This window comes from Homo sapiens, chromosome 13 (assembly GCF_000001405.40).
Source record: "Homo sapiens chromosome 13, GRCh38.p14 Primary Assembly".
Classification (NCBI taxonomy): domain Eukaryota; kingdom Metazoa; phylum Chordata; class Mammalia; order Primates; family Hominidae; genus Homo; species Homo sapiens.
Window position 1 is genome coordinate 23,606,492 of NC_000013.11, and position 13,273 is coordinate 23,619,764.

The 13,273-nt window shown below is 40.9% G+C and overlaps 1 protein-coding gene across 10 annotated transcripts in view, besides 1 other annotated feature; it reads left to right on the plus strand.

The window, feature by feature from the left end:
* Window positions 1–13,273, plus strand: part of TNFRSF19 (TNF receptor superfamily member 19) — a 105,682-nt gene that overhangs the window by 36,080 nt on the left and 56,329 nt on the right. For all 10 annotated transcript variants that reach the window (XM_047430440.1, XM_047430442.1, NM_148957.4 and 7 more), the window contains one exon: window positions 9,376–9,554. In XM_047430440.1, coding sequence (XP_047286396.1) covers window positions 9,376–9,554 — 179 coding nt within the window. The remainder of the gene's footprint in view (window positions 1–9,375; window positions 9,555–13,273) is intronic.
* Window positions 11,907–12,408: an enhancer, noted in NCBI's record as "H3K27ac hESC enhancer chr13:24192537-24193038 (GRCh37/hg19 assembly coordinates)". NCBI's record gives its function as "activates a minimal SCP1, AML or CMV promoter by ChIP-STARR-seq in primed H9 embryonic stem cells {active_cell/tissue: H9 hESC(primed)}" and the evidence as "EXISTENCE:reporter gene assay evidence [ECO:0000049][PMID:30033119]".

Genomic DNA, 13,273 nt, shown 5'->3' on the forward strand with positions numbered 1-13,273 from the left:
TGTCCACCTGGAAGCCCATGTTGTTCAGTCTTCTACCCTGTATCTACAGAGCACCCAGCTCCTGACACAGTACATGAGTGAACAAATCAGTTAATCTCAAATATTACTTGGAAAAAAAAGTGACACTTAAATCTGGTAATATAAAAATGAATGAATTTGTGTATATGTTATAAATCATATATTTTGCCAAGTCTTTTTTCTTAGTTTTAGCTCATAATAAATAAAATCAGCAACTTAACTTTGCTCATGCTCTAACATACAACAGAGAGGCAAAGGATTCAGATACACAAATGAAAACATAAATATATTTTTATTTTCCACCCCACTTAACTCAGAGAGCTTGAGCTTTTTATAAGCAGTTACTTTAATGTTAGATGTTTTTAAATTGTCCATTCATGAATTTGTGATTTCTTCTTTTCATTGTTCCTTTTGCAACAGCATATGTCTTTCAGAGGAAAGAAAAATAAGTTATGAGGATATTAAAGTCAGATAAATCACTGAAATTAAAATTACATTTAACTGGCTAATTTTCACTTCCAAGCTTTACAAATCAAGGGAAAATTTAGTCTTTTGACTAAGACTAAGCTTTAAATTTTTTTTCAGACAACTACGTTTATAAATAATCTTTTTTAAAGCTTGAGATATTAAATGTATAGTTTGGGCCAGGCACAGTGGCTCACATCTGTAATCCCAGCACTTTGGGAGGCCGAGGCAGGTGGATTGCCTGAGGTCAGGAGTTCCAGACTAGCCTGGCCAACATGGTGAAACCCCATCTGTACTAAAAATACAAAAATTAGCCAGGTGTGGTGGTGGGCGCCTTTAATCCCAGCTACTCAGGAGGCTGAGGCAGGAGAATCGCTTGAGTCTGGGAGGCAGAGTTGTGGTGAGCCGAGATTGCACCACCGCACTCAAGTCTGGGTGACAAAGTGAGAAATAAATAAATAGATAAATAGATAGACAGTTTGGAGGGATACCTTTTAATTTGTAATTAAACAAGTCTCAGGGCCCTTTTTGACTGAGGCTTAGAATTTTGGTTACCTATGGTATTTGAAATTTTGAAAGCAGAGTAAACATAAAACTTTTTAAAGTTAATTATGAAAAAGAAGAAAAGCTAGACCAAACTATTGATATATACAACAAAAGATTTTTTTATATTGTGGGTAAAAAGTACATTTTTTAGTAGGCCATTAGCATTTTCAAATAACTTTTATTGTAACATTGTTATGTTATTTGCTTCTCTGTATTAAAGGTATCTTAAAACTTCTGACATTTTCTGTCCTCCAGTCCATCTGTCTAAAATAACGCACTCTGGGTCATGAGGTTCTTTCAATTACAAACATGTACCTGTGCCTTAAAACTAAAGCCTGGAAGTGCTTTGGTTAAGCAGGTATAGTTAAACTTTCCTCTGCGGTTTTATTTCTCCTAATTATTATTTTCTTTGGAAGGCATTCAATTCTATTTTTTCCCAAGGTATCTGAGCATCTCTTCCATTGTTAGTTAGGTTTCTACCATAAAAATGTGTAGTCAGGGCTGGCTGGGGCTTCTGGAATCGTATTCCTGGATACAGTCTACACCTTGACCCACCAGTGGTGTGTGGTCAGTAGGTCCCAGCCTCTTTTCACTTCCTTTCAATTATTAGGTATTAAGAAGTCTGCACAGCAGCTCCAGGTCCACCGATACTGTTGCTGACTTAGATTGATGATACCCTTCTCTTCCTTGGCCACTTTTAAAAGATTCTTATTTTAACTGTTTACCTTGGATATCTTGGGCTATGTTCATGTAAACGACATCTGTTAACATAAATATGAGCTATCTCTTGTAATACATATTATGCAACTAAGATAATATTAGCTAATTTTTCATACAGTAAGCCAGGTACTATGTGATCTTTGTATATTAAATAATGGAATCCTTACAACATATGTTTTAAATAGGGAATATAACCATCCCCATCTTATGGACAGGGAAACTGGGACACAGTGGTTCACTGATTTGTCCATTGTCACTGCTAGTAAGTAACAGTGCGGGAGGAAGGAGTGGTGGAGCCACGTGGGAGTAGCAATCTCTTGCTCGTTTTGTAAATAGCCTAGTGCAATTCTCTCTGATAGAACTGTCTGTGATGGTGGAAGTGGTCTCTATCTGCTCTATCCAGTATACGAGCAACTAGCCACTGCGGTTACTGAACACTTACAGAATTTTATTTCATTTTAATTGATGAAAATTAAATGAGGCCACATGGGGTCTGGCTATTGTATTGGACAGTACAGCTCTAGAATGATTAACTTTCTTCCAGTAATTCTGGCATGGGACCAGCCTGTAAAACAAGGAGATACCAGAATCATATTGACCTAACGCACATGCACTGCGGGAGCTGCCTTGCTGGTCAGCCTTCTTCCTGTCCTTCTTCCTCTGAGCTACGCTCGACCTTGCCACCAGTTCCCGACCCATCTGTTTCCGGTCCTCCATGCTCCTCATGCCAGATGCTGTTGCCCTGGGCGTTCTGAGCAGGCGCCTCTCGCTAGTTCCTTTGCTTCCTTCCCTGTAAGCCCCAAGCAGCATCTCTTCCCATTCAGTTCTTTTTTAGAAATTTTGCTTAATACATAGTTATCTTTCCTGCATTTTTAGGAAAATATATGACAGGTCGCTGAGCCATGTGGAGTCTGAGGATTTTATCCCATTGAGCCATATTTACCCTATCTCTCCTCCACTACAGGATTTCGATTTTGAAAGTGTATGAGAAAGATAATTCAGAATATTTTTCCTATTTCAGAGTCAAAAAATACAAAAGCTTGTTCTGGGCGCCCCATAAGTAGTACCTGCTGGGCATTCTGAACCATAAATATGGTGAGGGTTACTCGGCCATCAGGCATCCTTTCAGCTCCCAAAAATAAACCTAACTTTGGGATATGTGGGAGAGGATGATTTTTGTTTTCCTGAAGTAACCACATTAGACTTTTAATTCTTACTGCCTAGAATTCGCCCAGCCCCAGCCCATCCTCCTCACTCGTATTAATGCCAACAGTGTGCTTGTAACACGATCGCCTCGCAGCAGTAAATCAGGAAACTAGTTTTTGCATGAACCACTTGAAACAGGCTTCAAGTCTCTGGCACAGTTTTCAAAGTAAACTTTTCTAACCAATTATTGGGAGGACTTTAGTTAATGTGAAAAAATTAACTCTTGTAAACAACAACATACTTTCCTCCGCACGGGGCATACCCAGCTTCATATTTCTGAAGATGTTTACATTTTTGAAAACTGTTTTTGTCTCTATGAGGAAAGTTTTAAAAAAATTAATTTGTAAGCATAAAAAATGAGATTCATTTCTGCCATTTAATGACAGTGTTGCTCACTTTATTTATGTTTAATTATAGCTGATCTAGCCTAGGGATGGTTGTAAGATATTAACGAGCCCTTGCTTGTCAGTTTTCTCTAAAAAACTCAAGCACAGCCTTTTAGAAACTGAAAGTTGAGGGGAAATATCTCTTCAATGTTGTTTCATTAAAGGAAGTTAAAAGTTGATTTCTAAGCACCAGCAACATAAATCTAATTTGTCATTTGCATTTGCATGCCCTAGATTCTCCCTTCAAATAACTTCTCCATCCACATTTAAAATTTAACATTTAACTTTGAAAGTTCAAAGGACTGCAGTTAATAACGCACTGGCTGTACAAATAAATAGTGCTTTCAACCCAAGGCCCAGAATGTGTTTCCTGGACAACAAGGGTCTGTGAGTTTTCCCCTGTGGTCTGAAGAGCTGCTCCTCCAACCTGTAGGTAGGACCCGCTTATGTTTTTGTTAAAGGCTGGATTTGCAGAAGGAGAAAAGAGAGAAGGGGATTTGGGGACTGTTTACTTTGAGTCATTTTGCTACTGGAAAACCACCAAATGTGGCTTAAAAATATTGGGCAGAGTGACAGAGCTACAGCTTGGGTGGAAGTAGCCCAGCTGAACCCAGCCCTCTGCTCCCTTGGGACCAAGATAAGGAAAGCTGCTGACCCCACTCCACCCAGACATCCCCAGCCCAGCCCACCCTGCCTGCCATCCTGCAGCCCAGGAGGACTATATGGCCTCACCACATGGGAGCCCTTGCTGGGGCCGTTACAAGCTATTGCTCCCTAGGATTTTTTTAAAGTATTTAGGAAATACTACCTTAAACAATATTTGTTCATCCGTTTGTTTATCAGCAGGCATTTATTTATTATTCACCGGCCTGTTAGATACCAGGCTTTTGGGAAGGAGAGGTGGAGGGAGGCATTGGATACCATGGGTTGTTCACTTCTCATATGATTTTAGGAAGTAAGTAGGGGCCCTATAATAATGCCTTTTTTTGCATTATTATTTTATCTATGCATATATTTTCCCATCTTAAAGTTTATTGATAAAAAATGTCTTCTCAAGGATTCGGGGAAGTACTGCGTACTTCCTTCAAGCTTTTAAGGTACCAGGTCATAATTTCAAGAATACAGACTACGGGGTATTTTAAAACAGAAATGCATTTCTACCATTGATATTAATGGCGGACCATGCTCCATAAACATAATCACATATCCCTTATCCTGAAGCCCAGGCTAAAGATGGACATACTCTGCCTATACCCTCCTTGCCCTCCCCTCACCAGACACACACACACATGTGCACACACACACACACACACACACACTCCTTCTCTTGCCATGATGGGAGGGACAACTCTAGTGCAACTTGGAAAGTGTCAAAGAAAACCCAGAACTGGACAGTGGAACAGCAGATTTTACTCAGGACTGTTGCAGTAGAGGAAATGAAAGCTCAGTGTAGAACTGGGCTCCACTCCAAATACAGCACAGGCAAGTGGGGATATATAGCCAAGGAGCAGGCTGGGTTTGGTGGATGGAAAATCATGAAGAGGAACCGTCAGAGGTGAGGGAGATTCTGGCTAAAATGACCTCACAGGATTCTTGCTGAAGACAGGCCAGGGTGACCAGGCATCACCTGGGAGATGGTGAGGGTTGAGGAACCTGAGAAGATACTGAGCATGGCCAGATTTAGCCAGGTTTTTGGGAAACTGGGCTCTTGAGGACAGGGCCCAACAGAGAGTGGCTCCTAAGAACCTATCTAGAGTTTGGTCAAGGAGAGAGTCCTTGTCAAAAGGCTAAACTCAAACATAGCTCATTTCATTATTTATTTGCTTACTTGTCTGCCTGCAGCAGGAAATAATATACCTAGGGAAATTACTTCTTTCTATCCCTATGGGGGAAAAAACAAAAAAGATTTGATACTATTTTCATTTGCTGCATGGTTAGGTCATCTGATCAATACAAATGCAGTGGGCCAAACCTAAATGGATACCCTCTCTGTGCCAGGACTTGGGGTGCAGTGGTGAGTAAGAACAGCTCCAGCTCTATCCATGCAAGGGAATACTCTCTATTTGCTGATATGGAGCACTGTCCAAGATGTATGGCATGGGAAAACAAATCTAGTTGCAGAACAGTGTTAAATACATGCACTCACGCTAGGAGGATATTTTTGGCAGGTCACCCCAATACCTGTGTTGGGGGAGTGGGAAGTTAAGGAGCAGGGATGGGAAGAAAGGTGTACTGTTTGATTATTTTTGTTAAATCTCATGTGTGTAATAGTTTTTCAGTATACGAATGATAAAAAGAAAAGAAATGATCTCGGCCAGGGTGGTGACACAAGTTTGTGAAGGCAGTGTCAATCTGTGCTAACCAATGTCACCATGGGTTGGAGGCTGTCGAGCTTCCCTTTCAGCTGTTTTCCCTCTTTCTTTTGTTCTTGGTAATTATTTATTGAACTTAATGGGGAAGATTTCAAGGCATTTTAACCACCCAGCTTTACTGAATGAAATGAAAACATCAAAGCAGACATTTATATTGGGGGTAATTTAGTATTTATATGTAGTTTACTTTATAGCCTGGATTATGAGTAATTACAGAGTCTGTGTTTAAGGTGCATTAGAAATATGACAGTCAACTCAAAAAGCAGTTGCTGTCATGGACACCATACTGTAATTTAATTTCTTGGAATCACCTTCTTTGAATTTCTAGTTATTTCATGGTTTCTAGTTAATTCAATGTGTAGAATGGTCACTTCATCAATTTCTTAGACTTTTATGAACTGCAGGCTATTTTTTAATAGTTTCAAATTAATATTAGGCTTTAAAAATATTACATTTTTGAAAATAGTAAATACTTTAGAGAAAATCTATTTTAAGTAAAATTTCCCAAATAAACAGTCTTTATGAAAGTTCCCATGAGTATTTGGGATATGATCAATGAATTTTATTATTTTGCCAAAAAATAACCACAAAGACCTCCACCACATTAAGTTGTATGTTCATTTTCAAAAGAGTTGTGACACTCAAAACTTTTAGTCCATTGGATTACTTGTACAGTTTCTCAGTGGAGGGAGGAGGTGACTTGGAGACAGTCAGCAGGACAGGGAGCCACAGTTGAATGACTGACTGGCAGGAACGCAGGGCTCTTATAGCACGGTGCAGCAGTTGACTCAGATAGGGTTGAATTAGAGTTTGTGTTCCACTAAACTTGTTTTAATTAAGAAAATTATGATTTCTTTTTGAAAGATTCTTAGTCAATAAAAATGTCTTAGATGGAAATTGGGGTCTGATGATCCCCTTATTTCCAGGGAAGCTTTATGATTCTTGAATCAGCAAAGTTGGTTTATTTATTGGATTGTAGAAAATCCAAAATCCTAACACTTATAGGTATAATTTGTTTAGGAAATGTGCACTCCGTGCTTGATTTAGAGTTGAGCACTTTATATGCATTCCCATTTATTCCTCACACAACCTTTAGGGCAGGTATTCTTATCCCCATCTCACAGATGAAGAGACTGAGGATCGGAGAATTCCCAAAATAACTTGGCCAACAAGTGGCAGAGCTGGCATTCAAACTCATGTCTCTTTAGATCCAATGTAGGAAAATACATACTTTTCTCCTATGTTGACCTGGCTTGAAACAGAATTTCCAAGGACATTTATTTCCAGTTAATGCACCTCTTTCTCTGCATTCTCCTTTCTCTTTCCCTTGTACTTCTCCTCCTTCTTCTTTTCCTTTGTTGTGTTTTAACTCGTACATGAGACTCTTACAACCTCAAGCTGCCTGGATCAAAGTGTGATTTTGAAATACTCTGCTCTTTCCTGAACCTTTGCTGTGGAGAACCCTAGCTTGGGAACAAGGTGGAGACCACCCCCAGAAGGTCACGTGCACCTGTGCCTTGATCCCAAGGGACTTTGGGAGTGGGAGGCTCTCTCCTATACTTCAGAAAGCCTGTGCCTGCACACAGCTCTCCCAGCAACCAAAGTGCTCAGCAAAAACACAGCTGTCCCAGCCCAGAGCCAGAGTCACAATGATCACCCCGCAAAGACCCAGCACATGTCCAGAGAAATTCTCCTTGAATATGCATCTTTATTGTTTTCCTATTACAAGAGTAATGGATGCTTTTTGCAAAAATTACATTTTGCAGAACTGTAAAACTTGAGACCACCCCGTAATTCTAATCTTCCCCTCCTCTGAAAGAGATAATCCCTGTTAACAATTTTAAAGAAATTCTAACTTGTTAATCAGTTCTTTAAATCAAGTGTTGTTTGTCTCCCCCCTCCTCTCTGTGCCTCTGATATAGAACATTGTGTGGCTGGAGCTCTCAGGAGTGAGGAGGAGGCTGACCTTCCACCCTTTTCTCCTCACTTCTTTGTTGTGCACACTCCCGATGTACGTTTGAAAGACAGGCAGAGTAATTGAAAGGAGGAAAGAAAGTATCACTCACCCAAAATGTGAATGAGTTAATTAGTAAAAATCTAGATGGAAGTGATTCCTCCGAATCCTTTGTTGAGTAGTTTATTAAGTACAGGCAGCACTATCCTTCAAGTTGGTTTTCATTTAATTTTTGGCCAATAAGTACTGCTTAGTTGATTTCGTATACAAATATGGATGAAGAAATTAAAATATGTAAATTTTACAGAAAAAATGGGAATGTTGAACTAGGTGGGACTTGCATTTTAGCATCCAGGGTTTACAAATGAGGAAACTGAGGTTTCTTGCAAGCCTTTCTTCCTCTGCAGCATCCAGTCTGCATTTGTGGGCATGCCCAGCCTGCTGCCTGCATGGGTGCCCTTCTTGCTCTTAAGCCACTGTCTGTTTTTTGTTAATGATGAGTGTTCTATAGAAACCATCACAAAGACCGACAACAGGTGTTACCAACAGTGTGTAGTCCTTCAGCCGCTTCCTGTGGATAAGTAATACATATATATATATATATATATATAGTACCTGGCAGGCCCTGTAGTGTAGTGGTTATGAAGCCTGACTCTGGAATTAGACGATGTAGGTTGAAATCCTGGTTCTAACACTACTTCTGTCACCTAGCCCAAGGTACATAACTTCTCTGACGCTCTATCCCCCAATCTATGAAATGGGAAAAATGGCAGTGCTGCCCTGATTGGGAAGGAGTATGGATTATTGAGATAATGGTGTAAAGTTCTTGGTCTAGAGTAAGCACCCATAAATGTTGGTACTTACATGAATGTTTTTGTAAACAATGGAATCATACTTCTAATTCTGTATTAAAACTTATTTTTAAAATTGTCGTGAACACAGATCACATCTACATTCTTCTTTTTATAGTTGCATTATAATTATGTTACATGATATGCTATAGTTTACTGAGTTCTTGAACTTGTGGAAATGATTGTATGTGGGTCAGAGAGCCATTTGTTTTGCCCACTCTTGGAAAACAGTGTGTTCTGATGTTCAAATCTAGAGAAGCTTGAGACCTTTAGTACCACAGAATTTGTCTCAACAGGAAGTTAACATCCTTTTAACAAATATGTAAGACTCTTTCTACTCTCAGGAAATACTAAATTGCTAACTATTTCAAGGAGCTCTCCATTTGGATTGATTTCTAGGCTTGTCCGCTAATGAAATTTCTTATGCACTTATCCTCATTTTTGAAAATAACACCCCTGATATCAAAGTACTGATTTTCTGCCTTAGAAGTGAGTGTGTGAATGTTTCCCTGGCGTTAGCTTCTGAGCATGCACATGACTGGCTTAATTAGAGGAGAAGAAGTGCCATAATTCTGCCATCCACTGATAGTAACGCAGCAGTGGGAGCCTGAGAGACCCTTGATTATTCTCATGCTCACGGCTTCTTGAATAAAGTGGATGACTAAGTGGACTTACCATAGTAAGAGAGATCATTAGCAGTGGAAGACACATTTGAACTTGCTGAAAGAGCTGCCTTTGTGTCTAGGAAGGCCGACACTTGGTAATTATTAGACCAGGTCTTCGTTTCATCCTAGCGGTCTTTCCTTTTCACGCTTGCAAAGTCTGAATAGCTTTCTGTTACCCGTTAATCCCCACAGGAATGTGGCTTCGGCTATGGGGAGGATGCACAGTGTGTGACGTGCCGGCTGCACAGGTTCAAGGAGGACTGGGGCTTCCAGAAATGCAAGCCCTGTCTGGACTGCGCAGTGGTGAACCGCTTTCAGAAGGCAAATTGTTCAGCCACCAGTGATGCCATCTGCGGGGACTGCTTGCCAGGGTGAGTTGGCCAGTTTCTTTCACTTGTAATTATTTAATTAAGTAACTTTTAAAAAGGCAATTCCCTTGTTCCATTCTAAACTGGAATGCATGCTGGTATTAACCTGAAGATGCTGGTGGAGTATTTGTGACTTCTTTCAGTATTAACCACTGGATTATCTGTGGTACCGTGTGCCATGCATGCAGCAGACACTGGCTATAAAGAAAATGAATAGGCATGCTAACAAAGGATTTCTGTTATGAAAATCTAAGGAGTTCCTACAAATCAGTAAAAAAGAAAACTTGGACAAATGGACACAAAAATGAACAAGCAACCCACAAAAGAGGTGACCCATGTGACTGGCAATCCTCTGACAATGTTCACCCTCATTAGCATCAGAGGAGGGCAGGTTACACCATTCAGCCATTCAGCAGAGACGTGCCCAACCACCTTAGGCATTGCTTTACATACTTGGGCTATGTCAGAAAATAAAGTGGCAAAGATCCCTGCCCATGGGGAGCTTATTTCTTATAGGTTTTGTTTGTTTGTTTGTTTGTTTTGTTTTGTTCTGTTTTGAGATGGAATTTCGCTCTTGTCACCCAGGCTGGAGTGCAATGGCGCAATCTCAGCTCAGTGCAACCTGTGCCTCCCAGGTTCAAGTGATTCTTCTGCCTCAGCCTCCCGAGTAACTGGGATTACAGGCATGCGCCACCACGCCCGGCTAATTTTTTGTATTTTTAGTAGAGATGGTGTTTCTCCATGTTGGTTGGTCTCAAACTCCTGACCTCAGGTGATCTGCCTGCCTCAGCCTCCCAAAGTGCTGGGATTACAGGTGTGAGCCACCATGCCCGGCTTCTTATAGGGTTTTAAAAAATATTTAAATAGTAAATAATAAAGAAGCAAATTATGCAGAAAGATAGAAGATGATAACTGCTATGGAAGAAACCCTAAGGCAGACAAGGGCGATTGGGCATGGCCACAGTGAGGGGCAGGACAGTGACAGCGTAAATTGGGTTGTCAGGATAGGCTTTATTGCAAAGGTGAGATCTGAGCAAAGGCTTGAAGGAGACGAGGCACGGAGCCAAGCAGAGAGGTGGGGAAGAGCACCGCAGACAGAAGGAACCTCCAGCAAGAGGTTCTCAGGTGGGCATCTACCTGGTGTGGGTAAAAAACTGCCAGGAGGCCAAGGGAGTGGCAGAGAGAGGGAGGCGTGCAGTACACCAAGTTACAGAGAGCAGAGGAAGGGGTGGGCAGGTGCGAACGCAGAAGCCTTAAATAGACTTGTCAATAAGGCAGCCAGGTCCAGGGAAAGGAGAGGGACCACACCTGGGCCAGGGGGAGCACCAGGGAGGAGGAAGTTAAATTCCTGACTGCTTCTAAGTAACTGTGGGATGGATTAATACAGACAGCTGGAGGAGAGAGTCTGGATGAAGAGCCAGGGTGACAAGGGGGGTGATCTGTAAGGCAGGGAGAAGCCATTGCTACACCAAGTATGCAGAGAATGGGATGAAGCAGAATATCCTTAGAGCTTAATGGAGATAGAGTGGAGCCAAGAGTTACTGACCAAAGACAGAAGAGAGAGGAAGCAGAAACCCTGGAGCATCAGAAACCAGTCTGTATTGCAAAAGTAAGAAACAACCAGAAACTGCATTGCAGGGGCAGCAAACATTTATTACTTGCAATGTACCAGGCACCTGGCCAAGTACTTCTCATGAATTATTTTCTATACTTTTCACAATGTTTTAAGAAGGAAGAAACTGAGACTTATTAAGGATTAAGTTTATTCAGGCAAGATCACCTAACCTGTGTGTGGTGAGTCTGGGAGTCACATCATGGGAGTCTAACATCAGAATTCATGCTCCGAGGCACTACAGACAAAAGACTCTAACTGGATCGACCACAAGATCAGAGTGGTTTTGACCAGATGTCCCGGGGGTGGGGTCTTGTTGAGGCCAGAGAGGAGATAAAGCTCTGGGCCTGAAGGGTGGAAACAGAGTAGAAAATAGACTAGTGGGTCCCACGTGGTCATATACAGAGACCCAGCACCTAGGGAGCTGTAAGATGTAGTGGGCTAACACCAAAATACAAGCAGCAAAAGAAAAAATAGCTCTGTTGGACTTTATCAAAATTTTAAACTTTGTACTTCAAAGGAAATCCTTTGAAGTACAAAACACAACCACACAACCCACAAAATAGGAGAAAATACTGGCAAATCATATGTCTGGTAAGGAACTATCTTAAGTAGAATATGTCCTCACATATTCTTACAACTCAATAATAAAAAGACAAATAATTCAATTAAAATACAATGAAGGATTTGAATAGACATTTCTCCAAAGAAATATACAAATGTCCAATAAGCACATGAAAAGTTGCCCAACATCATTAACAATCAGGGAAATGCAAATCAAACCCACATTCTTCAACCCCACTAAGATAGCTATAGCCAACAAAAACCAGACGGTAACGGTGATGACATGGAGAGATTGGAATGTTGGTGATGACGTGGAGAGATTGAAACCCTCATACACTGTTGGTGGGAACGGCAAAGGGTACAGCCAGGTTGGAAAACAGTTTAGAGTTCCTTCAGAAAGTTAGACATAGAGTTACCACGTGACCTGACAGTTTGACTCTTAGGTATATAACCAAGAGAACTGAAAACACGTCCACACAAAAACTTGTACACTAGTGTTCGTAGCAGCAGTTTACGTAATAGCCAAAAAACTGAAACAACCAAGCTCTGGTTTGAATGTGTCCCCTCCAAAATTCAGTTGTTGCCAGTGCGATTATATTAAGAGGTGGGGCCTTTACGAGGTAATTAGGTCATGATGGGCCCTCCCCTCACAAATATGCCCTGATAAAGGGGCTTGACAGAGGGAATTTGTTCCTTTTTTATTTGCCTTCCACCTTCTGCCACGTAAGGACACAGCATTTCTTCCCTCTGAAGAGTGCAGCAGAAAGGCCCTCACCAGACGCCAGATACTGGCATCTTGATCTTGGACTTCCCAGCCTTCAGAACTATGAGAAATAAATTTCTGTTATTTATAAATTACCCAGTCTGTGATATTCTATTACAGCAGCACAAAACCGACTAAGACAAACCCAAGTGTCTATCAACTGATAAATGGAAAAACCAAATGGGATATATTCAAACAATGAAATATTATTCATCAGTAAAAAGGAAGGAAATGCTGACATGCTATGAGATGGATGAGCCTAGAAAACATTATGCCAAGTGAAATAAGCCAGTCACCAATGATGGCATATTACATGATTCTATTGAAATGTCCAGAATGGGCAAATCTACAGGGACAGAAAGGAAATTAGTGTTGCCTAAGGGCTGGGGTTGGGGAGAGTTGGGAATGGGAGGTGACTGATAAGGTTATGAGGCTTCTTTGGGGGATGATGAAAATGTCCTAAAATTGATTGTGGTGATGGTTGTACAACTCTGTGAATGTATGGAAAACCATCCAATTGTACACTTTAAATGGGTGAATTGTGTGGTATATAAAGTATAAGTCAATAAATCTGTGCCTTAAAAAAAAAAGGAACGGTCTATAATCTCAGACCTGTGATGATATCTATGGATAGCATTACTCAGAGTTTTGATCTTGTGCAAATCTAATTGAGGACATGAACGGAACATCTCACACACCTCTGTTGTTCGTGTTCTCCAGTTCCCTGATAAAAGCCTGTCTGTGCGTGTCTACTCTCTACATCTGGAGGTAGAGAAATGAGGA